This window comes from Homo sapiens, chromosome 6 (genome assembly GCF_000001405.40).
Source record: "Homo sapiens chromosome 6, GRCh38.p14 Primary Assembly".
Lineage (NCBI taxonomy): Eukaryota > Metazoa > Chordata > Mammalia > Primates > Hominidae > Homo > Homo sapiens.
This window is the reverse complement of record NC_000006.12, coordinates 34,161,642-34,189,626: the sequence shown is the minus strand read 5'-3', so window position 1 is coordinate 34,189,626 and position 27,985 is coordinate 34,161,642. Positions and strand designations below refer to the sequence as shown.

At 46.7% G+C, this 27,985-nt stretch overlaps 2 annotated features.

Moving 5' to 3' along the window:
- Positions 6,538–6,867: an enhancer, noted in NCBI's record as "active region_24377". NCBI's record gives its function as "activates an Ori minimal core promoter by ATAC-STARR-seq in GM12878 lymphoblastoid cells {active_cell/tissue: GM12878}" and the evidence as "EXISTENCE:reporter gene assay evidence [ECO:0000049][PMID:35858748]".
- Positions 25,721–25,930: an enhancer, noted in NCBI's record as "active region_24376". NCBI's record gives its function as "activates an Ori minimal core promoter by ATAC-STARR-seq in GM12878 lymphoblastoid cells {active_cell/tissue: GM12878}" and the evidence as "EXISTENCE:reporter gene assay evidence [ECO:0000049][PMID:35858748]".

Here is a 27,985-nt window from a genome sequence, read left to right as displayed (position 1 = left end):
GGATTATAGGTGCACACTACCATGCTTAAAAAGCTTTTTGTTATGGAAAAAAGGAAATATATAAAAGATAAGAGATTATATAATGAACCGCAGTGGGTACCTGTTAGCCAGGTTCAGCAGCATTATTAACATGGCCAGTCTTTTTAAAATCTATATTCCCATATACTCCTCCAATTCCCAGACCGGATTTATTTTGAAACATTGTGTTTTAAATTCTCAAATGTATGGAAAGTTTTTTTTTTTTTTTTTTAGACGGAGTCTTGCTCTGTCGCCCAGGCTGGAGTGCAGTGTCATGATCTTGGCTCACTGCAAGCTCCGCCTCCCGGGTTCATGCCATTCTCCTGCCTCAGCCTCCCAAGTAGCTGGGACTACAGGTGCCTGCCACCACGCCTGGCTAACTTTTTTGTATTTTTAATAGAGACGAAGTTTTACCATGTTAGCCAGGATGGTCTCGATCTCCTGAACTTGTGATCTGCCTGCCTCGGCCTCCCAAAGTACTGGGATTACAGACATGAGCCACCATGCCCAGCCAAATGTATGGAAAGTTTTTATTTATCTTTTTTTGCTAATAACTAATAACATAATTGCATTATAGTCAAAGATTATGGTCTGCATGATACTGAATTGCCAATATTACTTGAGACTTGCTCTGTGACTAGCGTGTGATCATTTTTGGTATATGTGACATGTGTGTTTGAGAGTAATGTGTATTCTCCAATTGTTTGGTGCAGGCTTCTACATACTAAAGTTTGTTAATTTTGTCATTCAAGTCTTCTATACCTTTGCTGACTTTTTATCTTCTTTATTTATTAGTAGTTGGAAGGCGGGGTGAATTACACCTGTGATCCCGGCACTTTGGGAGGCTGAGGCAGGAGGATCACTTGAGCCCAGGAATTCAAGACCAGCCTGGGCAACATAGTGAGACCCTGTCTCTACAAAAAATTAAAAAAATTAGCTGGGCATGACAGTGCACACCTGTAGTCCTAGCTACTCGGGAGGCTGAAACAGGAGGATTACTTGAGCCTAGGAGGTCGAGGCTGCAGTGAGCCGTGATCGTGGCCCTGCACTCCAGCCTGGGCAACAGAGCAAGACCTTGTAACAACAACAATAACAACAACAACAACAGCAGCTGCAAACTCCATTCTTGTCTGATATTAATAAAGATATGCTAAGGGCTGGGCGAGGTGGCTCACTCCTGTAATCCCAGCAATTTGGGAGTCTGAGGCGGGTGAATCACTTGAGATCAGGAGTTTGAGACCAGCCTGGCCAACATGGTGAAACCCTGTCTCTACTAAAAATACAAAAATTAGCTGGGCATGGTGGTTCATGCCTGTAGTCCCCGCTATTCGGGAGGCTGAGGCAGCAGAATTGCTTGAACCCAGGAGGTGGACGTTGCAGTGAGCTGAGATCCTGCCGCTGAACTCCAGCCTGGAAGAAAGAGGGGGACTCCATCTCAAAAAAGAAAAAAAAAGATATGCTAAAGTTTTGGGGGGAATGTTAATATTTACCCGCTATATCTTTTTTCATCCTTTGACTTTCAGACTTGCTGTGTCTTATGACTTCGATGTGTCTTTTATAAACAGTATATAGCAGGCTTTTAAAAAATGCATATGTAGCTTAACAGAATGTATAATTAAACAATATATTATCCCCTTTCCTAAATACTGCAAGAAAGACCTCAGAAAACTTCAGTGCTGGCCATCCTCCTTTGCCTGGCTTGTTGTGTATTTTAGGTCTGTCCTCTTTTTTGCACCCTCAAATTCTACCTTACTATTGTTACTTTATGACGATGGGGCTTGTTTGAATTTCCTCACGCTTACCACGGGATTGTTCACTGTTTCTTCCTGCAGCTCAGGCTTCCCTTCTGGGATGGCTTTGCCTCCTCCTGCAGTACATCCTCCACCTGTAGATCTGATAGTGGCAAGCACTCCCGGTTTCATTTTGTTTGGAACTTTTAAAAATTTTTACTTATTTATTTATTTTGAGATGGAGTCTCGCTCTGTCGCCCAGGCTGGAGTACAGTGGTGCAATCTCAGCTCACTGCAACCTCCGCTTCCCGGGTTCAAGCGATTCTCCTGCCTCAGCCTCCCGAGTAGCTGGGACTACAGGAGCATACCACCACGCCCAGCTAATTTTTTGTATTTTTAGTAGAGATGGGGTTTCACTGTGTTAGCCAGGATGGTCTCGATCTCCTGACCTTGTGATCCACCTGCCTCGGCCTTCCAAAGTGTTGAGATTACAGGCGTGAGCCACTGTGCCCGGAACTTTTAAATAATTATAAAATACAACACACATAGAAAAATGCATAAGACAGGCCAGGCGCAGTGGCTCACGCCTGTAATCCCAGCACTTTGGGAGGCCGAGGCAGGTGGATCACGAGGTCAGGAGATCGAGACCATCCTGGCTAACACGGTGAAACCCCGTCTCTACTAAGAATACAATAGATTAGCTGGACGTGGTGGCGGGCGCCTGTAGTCCCAGCTACTCTGGAGGCTGAGGCAGGGGAATGGCGTGAACCCGGGAGGCAGAGCTTGCAGTGAGCCGAGATGGCGCCACTGCACTCCAGCCTGGGCAACAGAGCGAGACTCTGTCTCAAAAAAAAAAAAAAAAAAAAAGAAAAGAAAAAAGAAAAAAGAAAAATGCATAAGACAAAAATGGACAGAATAATTATAAAATGAACACTAGAAGCACCACTGGTGTCCTGCCCCCCTACTTTTTTTTTTTTGAGACGAGGTCTGGCTTTGTCAACCCAGGCTGGAGTGCAGTGGCCTGATCACGGTTCACTGCAGCCTTGACTTCCCAGACTCAAGTGATCCTCCCACCCCAGCCTCCTGAGTAGCTGGGACTATGGGCATGCGCCACCACGCCTGGCTAATTTTTGAATTTTTGTAGAGATGGAGTCTTCCTATGTTGCCCATGCTGGTCTCAAACTCCTGGGCTAAGCAATCCTCCTGTCTCGGCTTCCCAAAGTGTTCAGATTACAGGCATGAGCCACTGCACCTGGCCCTGTGTCCCTTTAGGATCATGTCTCAGTCTCTATCCTTTTTTGTTAATCATGTCCTTGCATTTCTTTATAGTTCCATCTACTTATTTTTTTTTATTTATTTATTTTGAGATGGAGTCTTGCGCTGTTGCCCAGGCTGGAGTGCAGTGGCGCAATCTCAGCTCACTGCAAGCTCCACCTCCCGGGTTCACGCCATTCTCCTGCCTCAGCCTCCTGAGTAGCTGGGGCTACAAGTGCCCGCCAACACGCCCAGCTAATTTATTGTGTTTTTAGCAGAGACAGGGTTTCACCGTGTTAGCCAGGATGGTCTCGATCTCCTGACCTTGTGATCTGCCCGCCTCGGCCTCCCAAAGTGTTGGGATTACAGGCGTGAGCCACTGCGCCCGGTCTGTTTATTTATTTTTGAGATGGAGTCTTTCTCTGTCGCCCAGGCTGGAGTGCAGTGGCGCAACCTGGGCTCACTGCAACCTCCGCCTCCCAGGTTCAAGCGATTCTCCTGCCTCAGCCTCCTGAGTAGCTGGGATTATGCACCCCACCACACCTGGCCAATTTTTGTATTTATTTATTTATTTATTTATTTATTTTTTGAGATGGAGTCTTGCTCTGTCACCCAGGCTGGAGTGCAGTGGCACAATTTCAGCTCACTGAAAGCTCCGCCTCCTGGGTTTATGCCCAGCTAATTTTTTTTGTATTTTTAGTAGAGATGGGGTTTCACCATGTTAGCCAGGATGGTCTTGATCTCCTGACTTCGTGATCAGCCTGCCTCAGCCTCCCAAAGTGCTGGGATTACAGGTGTGAGCCACCACACCCGGCCTCAATTTTTGTGTTTTTAGTAGAGACAAGGTTTTGCCATGTTGGCCAGGCTGGCCTTGAACTCCTGACCTCAGGTGATCCACCCGCCTCAGCCTCGCAAAGTGTTGGGATTACAGCCGTGCGCCACTGCGTCCGGTCATAGTTCCATCTACTTATGCATCTGATGATATACTAGAGATTAGTATATCGAAGGATCTAATTTCGAACCTTCTACAGGTGGAATCTTTCTGCATGTAGCTTTTTGCCTCTGGCTCTTTCTCTCAGCATTGCTAGTAAGGCTCATCGAGATTGTTTCATGTAGTTGAAATTCACTTATTTTTATTACCATATTGTATCTTATCATATTACTATGCCATAATTTATCTAGGCCTCTGCTGATGGGCCTATGGATTGTTTACAGTGGGGCTGTCATGAACAAGGCTGCTGTGAGCACTTTCAGCATGTCCCTTGTGCATGTGTATGTGTGTGGGCGGGTGCATTTCTCCAGTCCAGTGTATAGACTCAGGACTGGACTTGCTGGGTTATAGGTTAGGCATATTTTCAGTTTCATCAGATAATGCCCAGATTTACACCTATGCACCCATTTACACTCCTACCACATCCTTGACAACACGTGGTCTTGTCAGATTATAAATTTCTCTCTGTTTTTATTTATATGAAAACAATTTTATTTCATCCTAGTCCTTGAAAGGTAGTTTTGCCAGGCACAGAATCTAGCCTTACTTTAAAAAAAAATAAATTAATTAAATTTTTTTTCTTTTTGAGACAGAGTATCACTGTGTTGCCCAGGCTGCCAGGCCCAAGTGTAGTGACACTATCTCGGCTCACTGCAACCTCTGCCTCCCAGGTTCAAGTGATTCTCCCACGTCGGCCTCCCAAGTAGCTGGGACTACAGGTGTGCACCACCATGCCCAGCTGATTTTTGTATTTTTAGTAGAGGCAGGGTTTTGCCATGTTGGTCAGGCTGGTCTTGAACTCCTGGCCTCTGATCCACCCACCTCGGCCTCCCAAAGTGCTAGGATTATAGGCATGAGCCAACATACTCGGCCTGTTTTTATTTTTTAGGTAAAGGGACAACAGCAATGGGGTCTTGCAGTGATGATGGGGAGGGTGTATTTACTACAAGGTATCGAGGCGTGGGCTTTTCTTTATTTAGCTGCTTGGCATATGTGCTCTTTTTGTGGATTTATGTTGCTTATCACTTCTCCAGGTTTCATAGTCATTATCTCTTTTTTTTTTTTTTTTTTTTTTTTGAGACGGAGTCTTGCTCTGTCACCCAGGTTGGAGTGCAGTGGCATGATCTCAGCTCACTGAAACCTCTGCCTCCTGGGTTCAAGCGATTCTCCTGCCTCAGCCCCCTGAGTAGCTGGGATTACAGGCACCCGCCACCACACCCGGTTAATTTATTTTACTATATATATATATATATATATATATATTTTTTTTTTTTTGAGACGGAGTCTCGCTGTGTCGCCCAGGCTGGAGTGTAGTGGCGCGATCTCGGCTCACTGCAACCTCCGCCTCCTGGGTTCAAGCGATTCTCCTGCCTCAGCCTCCTGAGTAGCTGGGATTACAGGCACCTGGCACCATGCCCGGCTAATTTTTTGTATTTTTAGTAGAGACGGGGTTTCACCATGTTGGCCAGGCTGGTTTCGAACTCCTCACCTCAAGTGATCCGCCCGCCTTGGCCTCCCAAAGTGCTGGGATTACAGGTGTCAGCCACTGCGCCCGGCCTAATTTTTTTCTATTTTTAATAGAGACAGGGTTTCACTATGTTGGCCAGGCTGGTCTCAAACTCCTGATTTCAGGTGATCCACCCACCTTGGCCTCCCAAAGTGCTGGGATTACAGGCGTGAGCCACTGCACCCAGCCATCATTATCTCTTTAAATATCTCATCTCCTTCTTTTTCTCTATTCTTTCTTTTTCAGATGCTGATCAAATATATATTAAATCTTCTTCTATCCTCTACGGCTCTTAAAATCTTTTTCAAACTCATTTTCTTGCCTCATTGTGCTGTTTTCTAGGCAAATTCTTTGGAAGTATTTTCAGCTCACTAACTGTCTCTTCAGCTATAACTAATATACTTTTAATAAGATTTTACATTTCAACCTTTATATTTTTTATTTCTCAAAGTTCCATGTAAAAATCTATCTATTCATTCCTAATGGTCTTTTGTTGAGTGTATTTTTTTAAAATACATCTTTTATTTCTTTAAGTATGTCATAAATATCTACTTGACATTTTGTATCTGAAAATCCTCAAATCTTTAGTCCTTAGGGATCTGCAGTTCATTGTTTCTGCCACCTCACGGACAGAGTACCTCACCTCCTTGTGTGCTGGTGATCTTTGTGAGTTCATTGTTTGTTTAAAATTTGTAGAAGTCTCAGTTTGGGGAAGAGTTTTGCAGACAGCATTTGCATTTCTATTTCTGTTGGTATCAGGAAGTGATCTGAGATTACTTCATATCCCCTTGAAAGAACAAGTCCCAGACTCCCTTTCTCAATTTTGAGCTGGCTCAAGGCTCAGTTTCCCCACAACACGGCAATTTACCTAACTGCCTGCCGCTTCAGCCCTGGCCAGTCCCCATTTCCTTGTCTGGGAGGTAGTATTTTTGGAAACATACCCTATCTCTTGTCAGATCAGCTACATCTAAAAAAATTATGCTGTTCAGGGTTTAACTGTTCTCAGTCATGATGCCACAATGGCTGAGAACCTCTAATACTTTCCTTTTCTACTTCTCTGACTGGCCATGGGTCACATGACCCAAGATAGCCAACTGGAGTCCTTCCCTGGGATTTTCTGAATTAGAGTGGTAAGAGAAGCTTCTTCCTCTTTGGGGCAGCATCTTAAGGATGTGAGCTCAGTGAGGGTGGCAGTCATGCTTCCCACACATGGGGAGAAAGCCTGCCGAGAATGGAACCGCATGCTGAGAGATGAGAGAAGGTGGGAGACAGGGGAAGCTGCAGCATTTCCTGTATGATCTGTGGTTTGATCACGTGAGCCAGAATATTCGGCCCTTGTTGCTTGGGTTTTCTGTCTTTTGCGGTCTTGGTTTTTACATAGTGAGATGATGGATGGTGATTATTTTGTTTTCTGCTTTTCTGTGTTTTAAAATGCTCTATCTATCTATCTATCTATATTTTTTTGAGAGAGGGTCTCACTCTGTTGCCCAGGCTGGAGTGCAGCGGTGCAATCGTGGCTCACTATAGCCTTGACCTCCCAGACTCGAATGATCCTCATGTCTCAGCCTCCTGAGTAGCTGGGACTACAGGTGCGTGCCACCACATCCAGCTAATTTTTAAATTTTTGTAGAGACAGGGTCTCACCATGTTGTCGAGGCTGGTCTTGAACTTCTGGCCTCAAGCAATCTTCCTGCCTTGGCCTCCTAAAGTGTTGGGATTACAGGCGTGAGTCAGTGTGCCTGGCCGTCTGTATATTTTTTAAAAATAAGGAAGTATTATTAATTTAAAAAGTGTTATCTAAAAATCCTGCTTTCATTTCTTTGGTGAAGAAAATATCCTAACCCCAGTTGATTTCTGTAAAGTGAGATCACACATTGGGTTTGGCTAAAGCAGGGACCTGTGAAGTGGTTGAGGACTGAGTTGTATGTCCTTCTGTTGATGGTGAGGGAGCAGCATGCCATCCGCATGAAAGACAGCCTGGGCTTGTTTGTGCCAAGTGTCTGTGGTGTCCCTGATGGTGGAACAGTGGCTTTGGAGCTCCCTGCCCTGTGCCAGCCTCTGCCTCTGACTCCCCCTCACAAGGCTGTACTGTTTGAGGGACTGCTCAGTCACCCTGGTGTCCCTGGCACCCAGCACTGAACTGCCAAGAAATGTTTTTGATTGACTTATGCTAGACCTCATTTTTTTTTTCTTTGAGATGGAGTCTCACTCTGTTGCTCAAGCTGGAGTGCAGTGGCACGAGCTCACTGCCATCTTTGCTTCCCAGGTTCAAGTGATTCTCCTGCCTCAGCCTCCCGAGTGGAATTACAGGCTCTCACCACCATGCCCAGCTACTTTTTGTATTTTTAGTAGAGACGGGGTTTCATCATGTTGGCCAGGCTGATCTCAGACTCCTGGTCTCAGGTGATCTGTCCACCCTGGCCTCCCAAGGTGCTGGGATTATGGGTGTGAGCCACTGCACCTGGCCTGGACTTCAAATTTTTTGTTTTTTTGAGACGGAGTCTCGCTCTGTCGCCCAGGCTGGAGTGCAGTGGCGCGATCTTGGCTCACTGCAAGCTCCGCCTCCCGGGTTCACGCCATTGTCTTGACTCAGCCTCCCGAGTAGCTGGGACTACAGGCGCCAGTCACCACGCCTGGCTAATTTTTTGTATTTTTAGTAGAGACAGGGTTTCACCGTATTAGCCAGGATAGGATGGTCTTGATCTCCTGACCTCATGATCCGCCCTCCTTAGCCTCCCAAAGTGCTGGGATTACAGGCGTGAGCCACCGTGCCCGGCGGACCTCAAATTTTTATTTTATTTTTGAGACGGAGTCTCGCCCTGTTGCCCAGGCTGGAGTGCAGTGGCACAATCTTGGCTCACTACAACCTCCATCACCCGGGTTCAAGTGATTCTCCTGCCTCAGCCTCCAGAGTAGCTGGGATTACAGGTGTGCACTACCACGCCTGGATAATTTTTGTATTTTTAGTAGAGACGGGGTTTCACCATGTTGACCAGGCTGGTCTCAAACTCCTGACTTCAGTGATCTGCCTGCCTCGGCCTCCCAAAGTGCTGGGATTACAGGCATAACCCACTGCGCCCAGCTGCTGGGCTAATTTATTATTATTATTATTATTATTATTATTATTATTATTATTATTTTGAGACAGAGTCTTGCTCTGTCACTCAGGCTGGAGTGCAGTGGCACTATCTCGGCTCACTATAACCTTCACCTCCCAGGTTCAAGCAATTCTTATGCCTCAGCCACCGAAGTAGCTGGGACTACAGATATGCATCACCATACCTGGCTAATTTTTGTATGTTTAGTAGAGACAGAGTTTCACCATGTTGGCCAGGCTGGTCTCGAACTCTTGACCTCAGGTGTTGTGCCCGCTTTGGCCTCCCAAAGTGCTGGGATTGCAGGCGTGAGCCACTGCGCCTGGCCTTAATTTTTTAATTTTATTTTTCACAGAAACGAGGTCTTGCTGTGATGCCTAGGCTAGTCTTGAACTCCTGGGCTCAAGCAATCCTCCTGCCTTGGCCTCCCAAAGTGCTAGGATTACAGGTCTGAGCCAGTGCACCCAGCCCAGACTCAGATTTTGAGGTCTCCACACAGCTTAGTGCAATCAGAATGAGTCAAAAAAAGATACGGGATGCTTTGAGATACTTGGCTTCTCTGAGTCTCAGTTTCCTCTTCTGTAAAGTGGGTGCAACAATAGGTAACCTTCTGCAGCGTTGTTGTAAGGATTGGACACAATGTACAGAGTGCGAGCATTGGCTCAGTAATCCAACTATGATGTCGGGGGAGAAGGAAAGATTAAATGGTAGGTGTTGACAGTCCCAAATTGTGTAAAAGCATATTGAATCAGGCTTTTCTTGTTGTCACTTAGAATCACAGTTGGGACAAAGAAGCATTAAGACTCATAGTCTAGAGAACGTGGACATTACCGTGTGGCAGACTCCTCCAGGACCTGTTAAAAGGTGGATGAACCAGTTCTGCTTCTCCTGAACATTCTGCCAGTTACCAGCAAGGATGGCGTGTTCCTAAACTAAGTAACTGGTGAAGTTGCCTAATTTCCCTGTGCCTCAGGCACCTCACCTGTAAAATAGGGATAATAATAGTATCCACCTTTTTTTTTTTGAGACAGAGTCTTGCTGTGTCTCCCAATCTCTGCCTCCCAGGTTCAAGTGATTCTCCTGCCTCAGCCTCCTGAGTAGCTGGGATTACAGGTGCCCGCCACAGTGCCTGGCTAATTTTTGTATTTTTAGTAGAGATGGGGTTTCACTGTATTGGCCAGGCTGGTCTTGAACTCCTGACCTCAGGTAATCCGCCTGCCTCAGACTCCCAAAGTGCTGGGATTACAGGTGTGAGTGACTGTACCCTGCGTAGTACCCACCTTTTAGGGTTGCTGTGAGGATTAAGTGAGTCTGATGGTGGTAGTGGTCCGTCTGGAGTGGCTGCTGAAAAGACTCTGGCTGCAGTGGGGGAGGCATGACCGGGGCTGCTAGCTCCACGGAGCCAGCAGGAACCAGAAACAGGCGGGAGCTGCGCCCCCTTCTGAGTTGTTAGGGTGGGAACAGCTGCAGCCGCCCAGCCACAACTGTGGACCCCAGCATCCCTGTGCTCTCAGGGCCCTGGGAAACCCCTCCACCCCCGCAGGCTCGGCAGTGCCTGCTCCCACTGCCTGGCCTCTCCCCACTTCTACTGCCTGCTCTGATATCACAGCAAAGTTGTGGCCAAGTCCAGGTGCTGTCACACCCAGAGCCTGGGTGCTGTCATGACCCAGCTGGGTGTGCATGCACTTGGTGCAGTGCTGACACACCAGCCCCCTGCCGCCTTGGCCCCCTCCAGACTTTGGGTGCTGACAAGCATGGGAGGGTGTCCAAAGTGGGGCTGAGGGTGCGTTGGCTCAGGCCTGCAGGTGCCCCTCGACATGAACAGCCTGGGCACCATGAATGGTGGCAGGAGGCAGACAGGTTTCTGGGTGGAAAGGGGTGGATCCCTGGTGAAACCCCACCTTCAAGCCACGGACAGCCTGAAGTCTAGGGGCCAGGCTGCCAGTTCTGCTGACTGGAGTAAGAACTTATAGTGCTTTTACCAGGCCTCCCATGGCCGCCCATGGACCAATCAGCACACACTTCCTCCCCTCTGAAGCCCATTAAAAACCCCAGACTTGGTCAGACTTGGGCAGACAATGGATGACCTGCCTGCAGATAGGAGCTACCCACTCCGGGTCTCCTGAGAGCTGTACTGTCGCTCAGTAAAGCACCTCTTCACCTTGCTTACACAAACAGGGCTGAAACACGCACCCTGCTTGCCATGTTGCGAGCAACAAGAAGGATTGAAGAGAGAAAGAAAGAAGAGCTTCAGCCCTTCGGTGAACCCAGGCTTGGGAGCTCCCCAAGCCAGGGTTTGACATGCTTTTTGGGGCTCTGCAGTTCCTGGCATCTCCAAGCTTCTGGGCGCCACCATGTTCCCTGGTGCCCACAGTGGAAGCTGCTTGTGGTACGTCTGGACCAGCTGCAGCAGGGAGCCAGTGCCTGTGCTGGCGCCTGGAGCGGCCTGCCTCGCCGCAGCTGGTGTGCCCGGCTGTGTACGCAGTGGCCGGACCCTGTGCCTGCTCGCTCACACACCCCTTGCCACTCCGCACCTGGCTCGCCTTTGGCAGGCATGGGATCCAGGCTGGTAGCAAAAGCTGAATGCAGCCTGCCAGGCCAAGTGGGTAGAACAAGCCAGTGGGCCTGAGCAAAACTTGTGAAAAGGCGCCAACAGCCACAGAGGTTTCCAGCTGGTGAAGTGATACCCTGAGGATCCCGTAACAAATCAATGCAAGAACAGTGACCAGGACCTCAGAAGCAATGTATCCTTTATTAGCATTGCTTTTGTTTTTGTTTTGAGATGGAGTCTCGCTCTGTTGCCCAGGCTGGAGTGCAGTGGTACAATCTCGGCTCACTGCAACCTCCACCTCCCAGGTTCAAGTGATTCTCCGACCTTAGCCTCCAGAGTAGCTGGGATTACAGGCACGAGCCACTATGCCTGGCTAATTTTTTATATTTCTAGTAGAGACTGGGTTTCACCATGTTGGCTAGGCTGGTCTTGAACTCCTGAGCTCAAGTAATTCACCTGCCTCGGCCTCTCAAAGTGCTGGGATTACAGGCATGAGCCACAGTGCCTGCCTCTGATATTAGTATTATTACCCCAATTCCTTACCTACCCCCAACTCCCATCTGGGTCTATATAAGCCAGAATTTAGGAAATCTAGAGAAATCCTAGGAGAGAGGGTGGTGGCTTTCCTCTCTCACTCCTCTAGCCAGCTATGGGTGGGGGGCGGGGGAGATGCTAGGGCTTCCTCTCCTGGCGGTGGGGGGGTCGGGGGAGTGCCTGTAGAAAGGGGAGCCCACATTGCATTCTCTGGCTGGATGTTTGCCTCCTCAGTGGTCAGGCTAATCTTCCCCTAGGCCCACTTGAGCAGTGACAGGTGGGATGAGGACAGCAGGGGTCTCTTACATGGCCCCTGCTTGGTGAGGCCAGGATGAGTGAGTGTGCTGTGGCCAAGTGGGCTCTGGGAGCATGAGAGCCACTTTGCTTGTCTCCCCAGGGAGGGCTGGCTGCTGGGCAAGGGGCCCTTAGCAGCAGGAGAGGGAGCTGGACCCCAGGTGGGAGCTGAGAGGTGGTAAAAGGGCTGGGGCCAGCACAGGGGTCCCCTGTCAAGGCACTGAATTGGCAGGGACCCAGCCGGGACCCTGCCAGCCCACCATCACTCTACGAGAGGCTGGCTGTGTGGCTGCCACACAGCAGGGAGCCGCTGACACCCACAGGGAGGCGATGCTGTGAAGCACAGGGTCCCTCACTTCACCCCTCCCTCCTTCCCAGAGGGGGGAAGGCCTGGGTCCCTCCTGTTCACAGGTCCCTGGGCATGGCCGTGGGCCAGGGAGGGAGGAGGGGAGTGCTTGACCAGACATCAGGTGGAGTTCAAGTTGGCACCAGATGGGGCAGGGCTTTTTTATGTCTGAAAGTCACCAGAAAGCAATGGGATGTGCTTGAGATGGTGCTAAGGGGTAGGAAGATGTTAAAGGCTGGATGTGAGGGAGACAAATGTTTTGTGTTAAAGCACTGCTGAGCTGAGAAGGTCCTTGGAACCAGTCACCAGTTCAGTGTCCCTGAGGCAGGGTGGTGGCCTCTGCTCACCCTGGCGCTGTGCCAGGGGTGTCCAGCTCAACACAAGGAACTGGGGGTGAGTGACTCCTGAAGTGAGGCTAAGCCCCCTGCCCTTGCCAGGCATGATGTGGGCAGCCTTGGGGTTGAGGAGGGAGCCCTCCTGGTCTGACACCCCTGTCTGACCCACAGTTTAGGGCAACGGAGGCCGAGTAGGAGGGTAAGTCCCCAAAACTGCATCAGCCGGGCATGGGGCCTGATAGCAACCCTCCCTCCCATCCTTCCTCTGTAGGGGTCAAGCTCAGACCAGGGTCAGATGACAGCAAAAGGTCCTTGGAGACCCAGAGGAGTAACACCTGTGACAAGAGCAGAGGCAGGGGGCTCTGCCAGGGCAGAGAAACAAGATGGTGGCTCTCCCTGGTGGCCTGAGCCTAGGCCTGGCTGAGGGAACAGGGTCAGAGGGCAGCAGTGTGGGCTGCTTCAGGCCACAGGGCCCCAGAGAGGGCAAGATGGGTGGACCAAGGACAAACCCATGCCAGAGACCAGCTGAGGAAACCAGGCAGGGAACCAGGATCCCAAAGGGTTCCCGCCAAAGCGAGGCATCTGTTTTGGGCTGGGACCTGCCGGGGGACACTACCTGGCCTGCCTGCTGTTTGCAGCCTCAGACGGCTCTCTTTTGTTGGTGTTTTTCTTATCGTTGCTTTTGTAAGGTCTTTTAATTTAAACCTTGTTTGCTGAGTGAATGAAAGTAGACCTTTTTCCAGGAGCTGTGTACACTTGATGGAAAAAGTTTCCAAAGAAAACCTTTTTTTTTTTTTTTTTTTTTTTTTTGAGACGGAGTCTTGCTGCTCTGTGGCCCAGGCTGGAGTGCAGTGATGTGATCTCAGCTCACTGCAACCTCCGCCTCCCTGGTTCAAGCAATTCTCCTGTTTCAGCCTCCTGAGTAGCTGAGATTACAGGTGCCCGCCACCACACCTGGCTAATTTTTGTATTTTTAGTAGAGACGGGGTTTCACCACATTGGTCAGTCTGGTCTTGAACTCCTGACCTTAGGTGATCCACACACCTTACTCCTGACCTTAGGTGATCCACACACCTTGGCCTCCCAAAGTGCTGGGATTACAGGCGTGAGCCACCTAGCCAAGCCCCAAAGACAACCTTTCTAAGCCTGAATTTCCTCACACATGAATGGGGAGTAGCAATATTTACCTGAAAGGGCTGATGTGAGGGGTAAGTGAAATAGTGTAAAGGGTCTGGCACAGTGCCTGGGACACAATAGGTACTCAGTAAATGGCAGGTTGTTATTCTGCCTCCTCCTTCTATACCCACATACCTTCCCATGTTTCCTGGTACCTGTATTAAGAAGGAAAAGGTTACAAGGAAGAGGTGAAGCAAGATGGCAGAATAGAAGGCCCCACTGATCATCTCCCCCACAGAAACACCAGATTCCACAACTATCTACATAAAAAGCACCTTAATAAGAAACAAAAATGAGGTGAGCATTTACAGTACCTGGTTTTAACTTCACGTCACTGAGAGTGGCACTGAAGAGGGTAAGAAAGGCAGTCTTGAATTGCCAACACTACCCCTTCCCATTCCCCTGCAGCAGCTACATGGTGCAGAGAAGTCTGTGATTGGGAAAGGGAGAGCGCAGTGATTCTGAGACTTCAGATTGAGCCCAGTGCTGCCCTGCCACAGTGGAAAGCAAAAGCAGGCTGAGCTCAGCTGATGCCCATGCATAAGGGGAGCATTCAGATCAGCTCTAACCAGAGGGGAATCACCCCTCCCAGTGGTCAGAAATTGAGTTCTGGCAAGCCTTGCCACCACAGGCTAAAGTGCTCCAGGGTCTTAAATAAACTTGAAATGCTGTCTAGGCCACAAGGACTGCAACTCCTAGGTGAGTCCTAGTATTGAGCTGGGGTTGGAGCCAGTGGACCCGGGGGGCACACAACCTATTGAGGGTGGCTAAGGAAGTGCTTGCACCACCCATCCTCCGGCCCCATGCTGCACAGCTCATGGCTGCAAAAGAGATCCATTCCTTCTGCTTGAAGAGAGGAGAGGAGAGGGAAGAGTAAAGAGGACTTTGTCTTGCATCTTGGATACCAGCCTAGCCACAGTAGGATAGGGCATCAGGCAGAGTCATGAGTCTAAGGCTCCCATTCCAGGATCCCAGATGACATTTCTAGGCACACTCAGGGCTAGAAGGGAATCTGCTGCGTTGAAGGGAAGGGCCCAGGCCTGGCGGGATCCATCACTTGCTGACTGTAAGAGCCCTTGGGCCCTGAATAACCAGCAGCAATACCCAGGTAGTACACTGTGGGCCTTGGGTGAGACACTGAGGTGTGGCTTCAGTGTGACCCAACACAATCCCAGCTGTGGTGGCTATGGTGAGAGACTCCTTCTTGAAAAAAGCAGAGGGAAAAGTAAGGGAGATTTTTTCTTGCACCTTAGGCACCAGCCTATCTGCAGTGGGGTAGAACACCAAGCAGGCCCTTGGCGTCCTCGATTCCAGACCTTAGCTCTTGGATGGCATTTCTGGGCCTGCTCTGGGCCAGAGGGGAGCCTGCTGCCCTGGGAGGAGAGACCTGGGCCGGACAGCATCCACCACGAGCTGACTGAAGAGCTCTTGGGCCTTAACCCTTTTCTCGTTTAGGAAAAAAAAAAAAAGTGCAGCTCACTGCCAGCACTCATTTAATTTTACATAAACACGCTCTTTGAGGCTGAAGCAAATCTGACTGATTTTCAACGTGAAAATAAAATATAAAAACTGTTCTTGGAGTTATTTCTAAACAGAACTAATATCATCAGAATCATCTGAATCATTAGAATCATCTATTTCAGGAAAATCGGATTCATTAAATGAATCTTTGGCCAAAAACTGTTCGAGAATGATGTTAACATCAAGCGTAGGAATGCTATGTTTTCTAGGATTTGACATTTTCAGCAATCAAGAATTACTATATTTTGTAAATGGAAATATCACTACTAAAACCAGAATGCTCTAAATAGAATAATGTCTTTTGTTTTCAAAGTCAATATACTAGGACAATGTGAAAATAATAATAAAAAGGAGATATTTTGTGACAAAGTTATCTCAGAGTAAAGCACTCCAGCAAGTATTCTTGGCGCAAATGGGAAATTCAGTGAACATCAGCAGTGGCCTGGCAGTGCTTCCCATGGACCTGTGGTGGTGGCCATGGGGTGAGGCTCCTGTGCCTGCGGAAAGGGGAGGGAAGAGTGGGAAGAACTGTGTCTTGTGTTTTGAGGGCTGCCTCAGCCACAGAGAAAACCAGGTAGACTTCTAAGGTTTTTGACTCCTGTCCCTAGCTCCCAGATGGCACCTCTGGACCCACTTGGGGCCCAGGAGAACTCACCACCCTGAAGGGAAGGACACAGCCTGGCTGGCTTCACCACCTGCTAATCGTAGAGCCGTAGGGACTTGAGTGAACATAAGTGGTAGCGAGGCCGCAGTTACAGCAGGCCTTGGGCAAGGCCCAGAGCTGTGCTGGCTTTAAGTCTGACCCAGTCCAGTCCCAGCCACAGGAGTGCTTGTATCACCCCTCCGCCAGGACTGAGACCAGGACCAGGTAGCTCAGGAGAGAGAGGGAGAGGGAGAGGGAGAGGGAGAGGGAGAGGGAGAGGGAGACTATTTATTTGGGAGAAAGTAAGGGAAGAGAATAAGGGTCTTTGCCTGCTGATCCAGAGAATTCTTCTGATCTTATCCAAAACCACCAAAGCAGTACCTCTATCAGTCTGCGAGAACTACAGCATAACTGGGCTTGGGCTGCTCCCTATTGCACACGCAGCTTGGATCACAACACCCAAATCCTTTTGAATACTTGGAAAGCCTTTCTAAGAAGGACAGGTACAAACAAGCCCAGACTGCAAAGACTACAATAAATACCTAACTCTTCAATGTCCAGACACCAACAAACATCAATGAGCATCAAAACCATGCAGGAAAACATGACCTTGCCAACCGAACTAAACAAGGCACCAGAGACCACTCCTGGAGAAACAGATATGTGACCTTTCAGACAGTAAATTCAAAATAGCTGTTTTGAGGAAACTCAAAGACATTCAAGATAACACAGAGAAGGAATTCAGAATTCTATCAGATGCATTTAACAAAGGGATCGAAATAATTTTTAAAAATCAGATGCATTTAACAAAGGGATCAAAATAATTTTTAAAAATCAAGCAGAAATTCTGAAGTTAAAAAACGCAATTCACATACTGAAGAATGCATGAGTCTCTCTCCCTCTCTCTTTTTTTTTTTTGAGACGGAGTTTCACTCTTGTTGCCCAGGCTAGAGTGCAATGGCGCGATCTCTGCTCACTGCAACCTCCACCTCCCGGATTCAAGCGATTCTTCTGCCTCAGCCTCCCAGGTAGCTGGGATTACAGGCATGTGCCACTACGCCTAGATAATTTTGTATTGTTAGTAGACATGGGGTTTCTCCATGTTGGCCAGGGTAGTCTCAAACTCCTGACCTCAGGTGATCCGCCCGTCTCAGCCTCCCAAAGTGCTGGGATTACAGGCTGAGCCATCGTGCCCGGCCAAGAGTCTCTTAATAGCAGAACTGATCAAGCACGGCTGGGCACGACGGCTTATGCCTGTAATCCCAGCACTTTGGCAGGCCGAGGTGGGTGGATCACCTGAGGTCAGGAGTTCAAGATCAGCCTGGCCAACATGGTGAAAACCCATCCCTACTAAAAATACAAAACTCAGGCAGGTGTGGTGGCACGTGCCTGTATTCCCAGCTACTTGGGAGGCTGAGGCAGGAAAATCTCTTGAACCTGAGAGGCAGAGGTTGCAGTGAGCCGAGATCGTGCCACTGTACTCCAGCCTGGGCGACAGAGCAAGACTCGGCCTCAAAAACAAAGCAAAACAAAAAAATAAGTGATCAAGCAGAAGAAAGAATTAGTGAGCTTGAAGACAGGCTATTTGAAAATACACAGTCAGAGGAGACAAAAGGAAAAAGAATAAAAAATAATAAAGCACACCTACAGGATTCAGAAAATAGCCTCAAAGGACAAATCTAAGAGTTACTGGCCTTAAAGAAGAGGTGGAGAAAGAGACGGGTAGAAAGTTTATTCAAAGGGATAATAACAGAGAACTTCTCAAACCTAGAGAAAGATATCAATACCCAAGTACAAGAAGGTTCTAGAACAGCAAGCAGATTTAACCCAAAGAAGACTACCTCAAAACATTTAATAATCAAACTCCAAAAGGTCAAGGATAAAGAAAGGATACTAAAAGCAGCCAGAGAAAAGAAACAAACAAAATACAACGGAGCTCCAGCACACCTGGCAGCAGACTTTTCAGTGGGAGATTTACAGGCCAAGAGAGAGTGGCATGACATATTTAAAGTGCTGAAGGAAAGAAACTGTTACCGTAGAATAGTATATCTGGTGAAAATACCCTTCAAACACGAGGGAGAAATACTTTCTCAGACAAACAAAAGCTAAGGGATTTCATCAAAGTCCAAAATAAATGCAAAAGAGAGTTCTTCAATCCGAAAGAAAATAACGTTAATGAGCAATAAGACATCATCTGAAAGTACAAAACTCACTGGCAATAGTAAGTACACTGAAAAACATAGAATATTATAACACTGTAACTGTGATGTGTAAACACTCTTAAGTACAAAGACTAAAAGATGAACCAATCAAAAATAGTAACTACAACAACGTTTCAAGACATAGGCAGTAAACATTCTTCCTCCCTCCCTCCCTCCCTCCTTCCCTCCCTCCCTCCCTCCCTCCTTTCTTTCCTTCTTTCTTTCCTTCCTTCCTTCCTTCCTTCCTCTCTCTCTCTCTCTCTCTCTTTCTTTCTTTCTTTTTTTCTCTCTCTTTCTTGACAGAGTTTCTCTCTGTTGCCCAGGCTGGAGTGCAGCGTCACAGTCTCAGCTTACTGCAGCCTCTGCCTCCTGGGTTCAAGTAATCCTCCTGCCTCAGCCTCCTGAGTAGCTGGGTTGACAGGCACACATCAGGGCACCCGGCTAGTTTTTGTATTTTTAGTAGAGATGGGGTTTCATCATATTGGCCCTATACTGCTCTCTAACTCCTGGCATCATGTGATCCACCCATCTCAGCCTCACAAAGTGCTGGGATTACAGGTGTGAGCCACCATGCCTGACCTATCCTTCACTCTTAATATGTTTTACCAATTGTCTCTTGTTGGACATTTATATTTTTTCTTTTATTATTGTTATTATTATTATTATTATTATTATTACTGTAATGATGGAATGAATTTCAGATGCTGGGACATAAACCTCTGACCCCTTTTTAAATTATGTCAGAGAGAGATTCCTAGAAATGGGATTAGCAGATCGAAGAGCTGAATCCTCCTCAAGTCCTATGCACAATTGAGCTGCTTGCCAGAAAGGTCAAGCATGTTTCCCATTCTCATCAGCAACACGTGAGAGGACTCAGTGAGCTGAAACACGGCCAGCGCTGCAACTGGTCATTTAAAAACTCTGCCAATTGGGGCCAGGCCTGGTGGCTCCATGAGGCTTTGTTGTTTCTATGAAAAAGTGGGGAGACAAAGTTAAAGTGTAGAGTTTTTACTAGTTTTCTTCTTGCTTGTTAGTTTGTGCAAGCAGAATTAAGTTGTTATCAGCTTAAAATAATGGGTTATAAGATAGTATTTGCAAGCCTCATGGTAACCTCAAATTGAGAAACACAACAGATACACAAAAAATAAAAAAAGCAGGAAATTAAATCATATCACCAGAGAAAATCACCTTCACTACAAAAAAAGACAGGAAGAAAGGAAAGAGGATGAGAAGATCACAAAACAACCAGAAAACAAATAACAAAATGGCAGAAGTAAGTCCTTACTTATCAAGAATAACATTGCATGTAAATGGACTAAACTCTCCAATCAAAAGACATAGAATGGCTCAATGGATAAAAAAACAAGACCCAATAATCTGTTGCCTGCAAGAAACACACCTCACCTATGAATACACATATAGGCTGAAAATAAAAGGATAGGAAAAGATATTCCATGCCAATGAAAACAAAAAAAGAGCGGGAGCAGCTATACTGATATCAGACAAAATAGATTTCAAGACAAAAACTATAAGAAGGGAAAAAGAAAGTATGTAGACCAAAGCCAGATGTGGTGGCTCACACCTGTAATTGTGGCACTTTTGGAGGCTGAGGCAAGTGGGTCACTTGAGGCCAGGAGTTTGAAACCAGCCTGGCTATCATGGTGAAACCCCATCTCTATTAAAAATACAAAAGTGTAATCCCAACACTTTGGGAGGCCAAGACAGGCAGATCCCCTGAGGTCAGGAGTTCGAGACCAACCTGGTCAACATGGCAAAACCCCATCTCTACTGAAAATACAAAAATTAGCAAGGTGTGGTGGCATGCATCTGTAGTCCCAGCTACTCGGGAGGCCAAGGCAGGAGAATCACTTGAACCTAGGAGGTGGTTGTTGCAGGGGACCAAGATTACACCACTGTACTGCAGTCTGGGCTACAGAGAGAGATTCTGTCTAAAATAAATAAATAAATAAATAAATAATAAAAATTTAGCTGGGCATGGTGGCATGCACTTGTAGTCCCAGCTACTCAGGAGACTGAGGCATGAGAATTGCTTGAACCTGGGAGGCAGAGGTTGCAGTGAGCCTAGATCATGCCACTGCACTCCATCCTGGGTGACAGAATGAGACTCTGTCTGAAAAAAAGAAAAAAAGCCTGGGCGCAGTGGCTCATGCCTGTAATCCCAGCACTTTGGGAGGCCGAGACAGGTGGATCCCTTAAAGTCAGGAGTTAGAGAGCAGTCTGGCCAACATGGTGAAACCCCTTCTCTACTAAAAATACAAAAATTAGCCAGGCATGGTGGTGCACACCTGTAGTCCCAGCTACTCAGGAGGCTGAGCTGGGAGAATTGCTTCAACCCAGGAGGTGGAGGTTGCAGTGAGCCGAGATTGTGCCATTGCACTCCAACCTGGGTGACAGAGTGAGACTCTGTTTCAAAAAAAAAAAAAAAAAAAAAAGAGTAGACCAAATGTTAGGTGACAAAATACAACTTAAAACATTCAAAAAAATTTGAAATAATATCAAGCATCTTCTCTGACTACAATGGAATAAAGCTAGAAATCAATAACAACAGGAATTTTGGCAACTATACAAACAAATGGAAATTAAATAATATGCTCCTGAATGACCAGTGGGTCAACGAAGAAATTAAGAAGAAAGTTGAAAAAGTTATTGAAACAGATGATAATAGAAAACAACATACCAAAACCTACGGGATACAGCAAAAGCAGTACTAAGAGGGAAATTTATACTTAAAAGTGCCTACATCAAAAAATAAGAAAAACTTCAAATAAACAACATAATGATGCATCTTAAAGAACTACAAGATCAGGAACAAACCAAAACCAAAATTAGTAGAAGAAAATAAATAATAAAGAGCAGAGATAAATGAAATTGAAATGACGAAAATAATACAAAATATCAGTGAAACAAAAAGTTGTTTTATTGAAAAGGTAAATAAAATTGACAAACCCTTAGCCAGACTAACTAGAAAAAAGAGAGAAGGCCCGAATAAATAAAATCAGAGATGGAAAAGGAGATATTACGACCAATATCGCAGAAACTCAAAGGATCATTATGGCTATTATGGGCAACTATATGCCAATAAATTGGAAAATCTAGAAGAAATGGATAAATTCCTAGACACACACCACCTACCAAGATTGAACCATGAAGAAATCCAAAACCTGAATAAACCAATAACAAGTAATGATATCAAAGCTGTATTAGTCTGTGCTCACATTACAAGAAAGAAATACCTGAGACTGGGTAATCTCTAAAGAAAAGAGGTTAATTGGCTGATGGTTCTGCAAGCTGTACAGGAAGCATAATGCTGCCATCTGCTTGGCTTCTGGGGAGGCCTTTGGAAGCTTGCAGTCATGGCAGAAGGTGAAGTAGGAGCTTGCACATTACACGGCCAGAGCAGGGGCAAGCGACAGGATGAGGAGGGAGGTGGTACACACTTTTAGACAATCAGATCTCTTGAGAACTCATTCACTATTTTTTTTTTTTTGAGATGGAGTTTTGCTCTTGTTGCCCAGGCTGGAGTGCAATGGTGTGATCTCGGCTCACCATAACCTCCGCCTCCCGGGTTCAAGCGATTCTCCTGCCTCAGCCTCCCGAGTAGCTGGGATTACAGGCATGTGCCACCACGCCTGGCTAATTTTGTATTTTTAGTAGAGACAGGGTTTCTCCATGTTGGTCAGGCTGATCTCGAACTTCCGACCTCAGGTGATCCACCCGCCTGGGCCTCCCAAAGTGCTGGGATTACAGGCTTGAGCCACTGCGCCCGGCCTAGACTCATGCACCCTCATAAGAACAGCACCAAAGGGATGGCGCTAAACCATTAATGAGAAACACCTCCATGATCCAGTCGCCTCCCACCAGGCCCCACCTCCAACATTGGGGATTACAATTCCACATGAAATTTGGTGGAGAGAGAGATCCAAACCATATCAGAAGCCATAATAAAAAGTCTCCAGCAAAGATAAGCCTGAGACCTGATGACTTCACTGTTGAATTCTACCAAAGACTTAAAGAAGAATGAATACAGATCCTACTCAAACTAGACCAAAAAATAGAGAAGGAGAGAATATTTCCAACTCATTCCATAAGGCTACTATTACCCTGATACCAAAACCAGACAAGGATACATTAAAAAAAACTACAGGCTAATATTGCTGATGAATATTGATGCAAAAATCCTCAACAAAATACTAGTAAACTGAATTCAACAACACATTGGAAAGATCGTTCATCATCACCAAGTGAGATTTATCCCATGAATGATTAAACATATGCAAATCAATCCATGTGATACATCATATCAACAGAACGAAGGACAAAAACCAACTGATGCTGAAAAAGCATTTGATAAAATGCAACATCCTTTCGTGATAAAACTGGGTAGAAGGAACATACCTCAACATAATAAAAGCCATATATGACAGATCCATGGCTAGTATCAAACTGAATGAGGATAAACTGAAAGTCATTCCTCTAAGATCTGGAACATGACAAGGATGCCCACTTTTACCACTGTTGTTCAACATAGCACTGGAAGGCATAGCTAGAACAATCAGACAAGAGAAGGAAATAAAGGGCATCCAACTTGGAAAGAAAGAAGTCAAATTATCCTTGTTTGCAGATGATATGATCTTACATTTAGAAACACCTAAAGACTCCACCAAAACACTATTACAACTGATAAATTCAGTAGAGTTGCAGGATACAAAATCAACACATAACGATCAGTAGCATTTATACATGCCAACAGTGAAAAATCTGAAAAAGAAATCAAGGAAGTAATCTCATTTGTGATAGCTACAAATAAAATAGAATACCTAGGAATTAACTGAACCAAATAAGTGAAAGATCGCTACAATCAAAACTATAAAACACAGATGCAAGGCATTGAAGAGGACACACAAAAAATGGAAAGATATTCCATGTTCATGGATTGGAAGAATCAATATTGTTAAAATGTCCATACTACCCAAAGCAGTATACAGATTTAATGCAATCTCTACAAAAATACCAATGACATCCTTCACAGAAATAGAAAAAAAATTCCTAAGATTTATATGTAATCACAAAAGACCCAGAATAGCCAAAGCTATCCTAAGCAAAATGAACAAAAGTGGAGAGATCGCATTACCTGACTTCAAATTATACTACAGAGCTATAGGAACCAAAATGGCATGGTACTGGCATAAAAACGGAGACATAGACCAGTGGAACAGAATAGAGAAGCCAGAAATAAATCCTTACATTTACAGTGAACTCGTTTTTGACAAAGGTGCCAAGAACATACAGTCTCTTGGACAGTCTCTTCAATAAACGATGCTGGGAAAACTGGATATCCATATGCAGAAGAATGAAGGTAGGCCCCTATCTCTCACCATATACAAACATCAAATCAAAATGGATTAAAGACTTAAATCTAAGACTTCAAACTATGAAACTACTAAAAGAAAACACTAGGGAAACCCCCCAAGACATTGGAGTGGGCAGAAATTTCTTGACTAATACCCCACAAGCACAGGCAACCAAAACAAAAATGGTCAAATGGGACCATATCATGTTAAAAAGCTCCAGCACAGCAGAGGAACCGATCAACAAAGGGAAGAAACAACCCAAGAAATGGTAGAAAATATATCAAAACTACCCGTCTGACAGGGGATTAATAACCAGAATATATAAGGAGTTCAAATAACTCTATAAGGAATAACCTAATAAAAATCTAATAAAAAGTGGGCAAAAGGTCTGAATAGACATTTCGTAAAAGAAGACATACAAATGGCAAACAGGCATATGAAAATGTACTCAATATCACTGATCATCAGATAAATGCAAATCAAAACTACAATGAAATGTCATCTCACCCCAGTTGAAATGGCTTTTATTCCAAGACAGGCGATAATGAATGCTGGGGGTGTTGTGGAGAAAAGAAAACCCTCATACACTGTTGGTGAGAATGTAAAGTAGTACAGCCACTATGGAGAACAGTTTGGAGGTTCCTCAAAAAACTAAAAATAGAAGTACCATATGATCCAGCAATCCCACTGCTAGGTATACACCCAAAGAAAGGAAATCAGTGTGTCGAAGAGATATCTGCACTCCCATTTTTCTGCAGCACTATTCACAGTAGCCAAGATTTGGAAGCAACCTAAATGTTCATCAGCAGATGAATGGATAAAGAAAATGTGGTACTTATACACAATGGAGCACTATTCAGCGATAAAAAAAATAAGATGCTGTCGTTTACAACAACATGGATAGAACTGGAGGTCATCATGTTAAGTGAAATAAGCCAGACACAGAAAGACAAACTTTGCATGTTCTCACTTATTTGTGAGAACTAAAAATAAAAACAATTGAACTCATGGAGATAGAGAGTAGAAGGATGGTTACCAGCGGGTTGGGAAGGGTAGTTGGGGGGTGGCGGGGAAGTGGAGATGGTTAATGGATACAAAAAATAGAAAGAATGGATAGACCTAGTATTTGCCAGCACAACAGGGTGACTAGAGTAAAAAATATATTTTTTTATTTTTTATTTTTTTGAGACAGAGTCTCACTCTGTTGCCCAGGCTGGAGTGCAGTGATCTCGACGCACTGCAACCTCCACCTCCTGGGTTCAAGTGATTCTCGTGCCTTAGCCTCCTGAGTAGCTGGGATTACAGGCATGTACCACCACGCCTGCCTCATTTTGTATTTTTAGTAGAGATGGGGTTTTACCATGTTGGCCAGGCTAGTCTCAAACTCCTGACCTCAAGTGATCAGCCCGCCTTGGCCTCCCAAAGTGCTGGGATTACAGGCATGAGCCACTGTGCCAGGGCTATAGTAAAAAATAATTTAATTGTACATTTAAAAAAACAAATAATATAATTGGATTGTGTGTAACACAAAGGATAAATGCTTCAGGTGATGGATACATTTACCCTGATGTGATTATTACACATTGCATGCGTGCATCAGAATGTCTTATGTAACCCGTAAAATATATACACCTACTATGTATCCACAAAAATTAAAAAATAATTTAAAAAAAGGAAAAATAGTCCTGGCGTGGTGGCTCACGCCTGTAATCCCAGCGGTTTGGGAGGCCGAGGCGGGCGGATTACAAGGTCAGGAGTTCGAGACCAGCCTGGTCAACATGGTGAAACCCCGTCTCTACTAAAAATACAAAAAATTAGCCGGGCGTGGTGGCAGGTGCCTGTAATCCCAGCTCCTAGGGAGGCTGAGGCAGGAGAATCGCTTGAACCCGGAAGGTGGAGGTTGCGGTGAGCCGAGGTGAACCGAGATCTGCCACTGCACTCCAGCTTGGGCAACAGAGCAAGACTCCGTCTCAAGAAAAAAAAAAAAAAAGAGAGAGAAAGGAAAAGGTCAAAAAGAGAAACGAGGTTGAAAGGACCAAAAGGGGTGTTGGAGTGCCCTCTGCTGGCCAGTGTTGACTGAGGGCTGAGTCAGAACCTGTCAAAGAACCAGGCCGGCTGAGAAAGCAGCTGCCCTGTCCTCCTTCCTAAGATCCCTGTCTTCTCGAGAGGAGGGAGCAGCTTCTGTCCCTGTGGGGAGGGGTATCAGTAGCTGCCCAGGCACATCTGCTACAGCAGGGACACGCGCTCCCCGATTCTGTTACTCTTGCACTGTGAGGGTCTCCTGGCTGGCAACACTTTCGGCAGATGTGGTTGGAGGGAGGAGGCGCGGGAGGCCCGGGGAGGCTCGGTGCAGGCCTGGAATGTGGTACCGAGTCATCTGCTCCCAAGCTTGTGATCGCCCCCATTGCCCCCACATTGAGTAGCTCTCCTGCCTGGGAGAGTTCTTCATGGTTACAAAGTGGGTCACCTTCAGCCTCTCACTGGTTCCTCATACAGTCCATGACAGATTTTCATTCCTCTCTACAGCTACTTTTCAGAGAGGTTTAGGGACTTGGCCAAGGCCAAGCTTTGTGGTTGTCTCAGACCCGAGGCTCCAAGTCCTGCGTTCTTCGTGTTCTTCATGTTGCCTCTCAGAGAATCATAGAAATTTTATCTCCTGACCAGGCACGGTGGCTCACGCTTGTAATCCCAGCACTTTGGGAGGCCGAGGCGGGTGGATCACCTAAGGTCAGGACTTTGAGACCAGCCTGGCCAACACGGTGAAACCCAGTCTTTACTGAAAATATACAAATTAGCTAGGCATGGGCTGGGTGCGGTGGCTCAAGCCTGTGATCCCAGCACTTTGGGAGGCCGAGGTGGGTGGATCACGAGGTCAGGAGTTCAAGACCAGCCTGGCCAAGATGGTGAAACCCTGTCTCTACTAAAAATACAAAAAGTAGCCAGGTATGGTGGTTGGCGCCTGTAATCCCAGCTACTCGAGATGCTGAGGCAGAGAATTGCTTGAACCCAAGAGGCGGAGGTTGCAGTGAGCTGAGATCGCGCCACTGCACTCCAGCCTGGGTGACAGAGTGAGACTCCGTTTCAAAAACAAAAAACAAAAAGCAAATTAGCTGGCGTGGTGGTGTGCACCTGTAATCTCAGCTACTAGGGAGGCTGAGGCAGCAGAATCGCTTGAACCCGGGAGGAGGAAGTTGCAGTGAGCTGAGATTGTGCCACTGAACTCCAGGATGGGCAACAGAGCAAGACTCTGTCTCAAAAAAAAAAAAAAAAAAGAAAAGAAAAGAAATTTGATCTCCTTGTTGTCTGATGCTTGAGTCACCTGCAGTATCTGTGACACGTGGCCATGCAGTGATGCTGGTCCTCCAGTGCACACCTTGCCGGGCAAGGACCTCCCTTTCCCTGGGGCAGCCGTTCCCGCGGTGGCCGACTGCTTCAGCCTCCTGACTTGGATTCGCCATGTGGAAGACACTTCTTCCTGTCTGTGGTTTCTCTCTCTGGACAAGTTCTCCTCCTTGGGCCATGGAATGAGAATATTCAACCTGCTGCCTGGAAATATTTGAAGATATTATTGGGGATCCCTGAATCTTTCCCTGGCAGACCCCAATTCTGCTTCTCCTGTGTTCCCAACATCAACCAACACTGGCATCATTGGCTCAGCTCTACACCTCCTAGATGGGTCCCTTCTGAGCCCGCCCCCGTGACCCGAGCCAGGCCGACTCTCCCCTATCGTCTCTGCATCTTTTCCTTCTCCACCCCCTGCCACCTGTCTGAGCTCTGTGTGACCCTTAGGATTACCCCAACAGCTTCCTAATGGGCCTCCCTGCCTCCAGCTTTGCCCCCTTGGGGCCATTATCCACTCTACATCAAGAGGATTTTCCTAAAAGGTTTCATCACCAGCGTCCATTGCCTTGCAGTAAGTCCCAACTCCTTCCCCCATCAGAGGGGACCCTGTGCCCACACCCTCCCTGGACCTTGGGCTTGTTGAATGATTCCCCCCAGCTGCTTGGTTTGGGCTTCTGACCTCTTCGCTTTGTACTTGTGGGAGGACTGGAGCTGGGAAGAACAGAGGCCCCTTTCAGCTGCATGAAGGGGAGCCATGGTCAGAGGTGGGCAGGGACACGGCCAGGTCTAAGGAGGCAAGCTCATTTTCCCTCTTCCTTCTCCATATGTGGGCAGATTTTCATTTCCTCTCAGGCTGCAGGGCGGTGAGTGTCCCAATTCATGAATGACAGGTGCAGCACACAATTAGAGTCAATCTCTCTCTCTCTCTCTTCCAGGTTCCTGGGAGAAAACACCAGGCTGGTCTAAGCCCGCTGCTGTGCAGGGCAGGGGCACGTGAGGCAACCTGGAGTGCCCATCACTCCAAGGCCCAACCCTGGTGTTTGCCCAGCAGCCTCCCTGCCCTCACCCAGGTCTG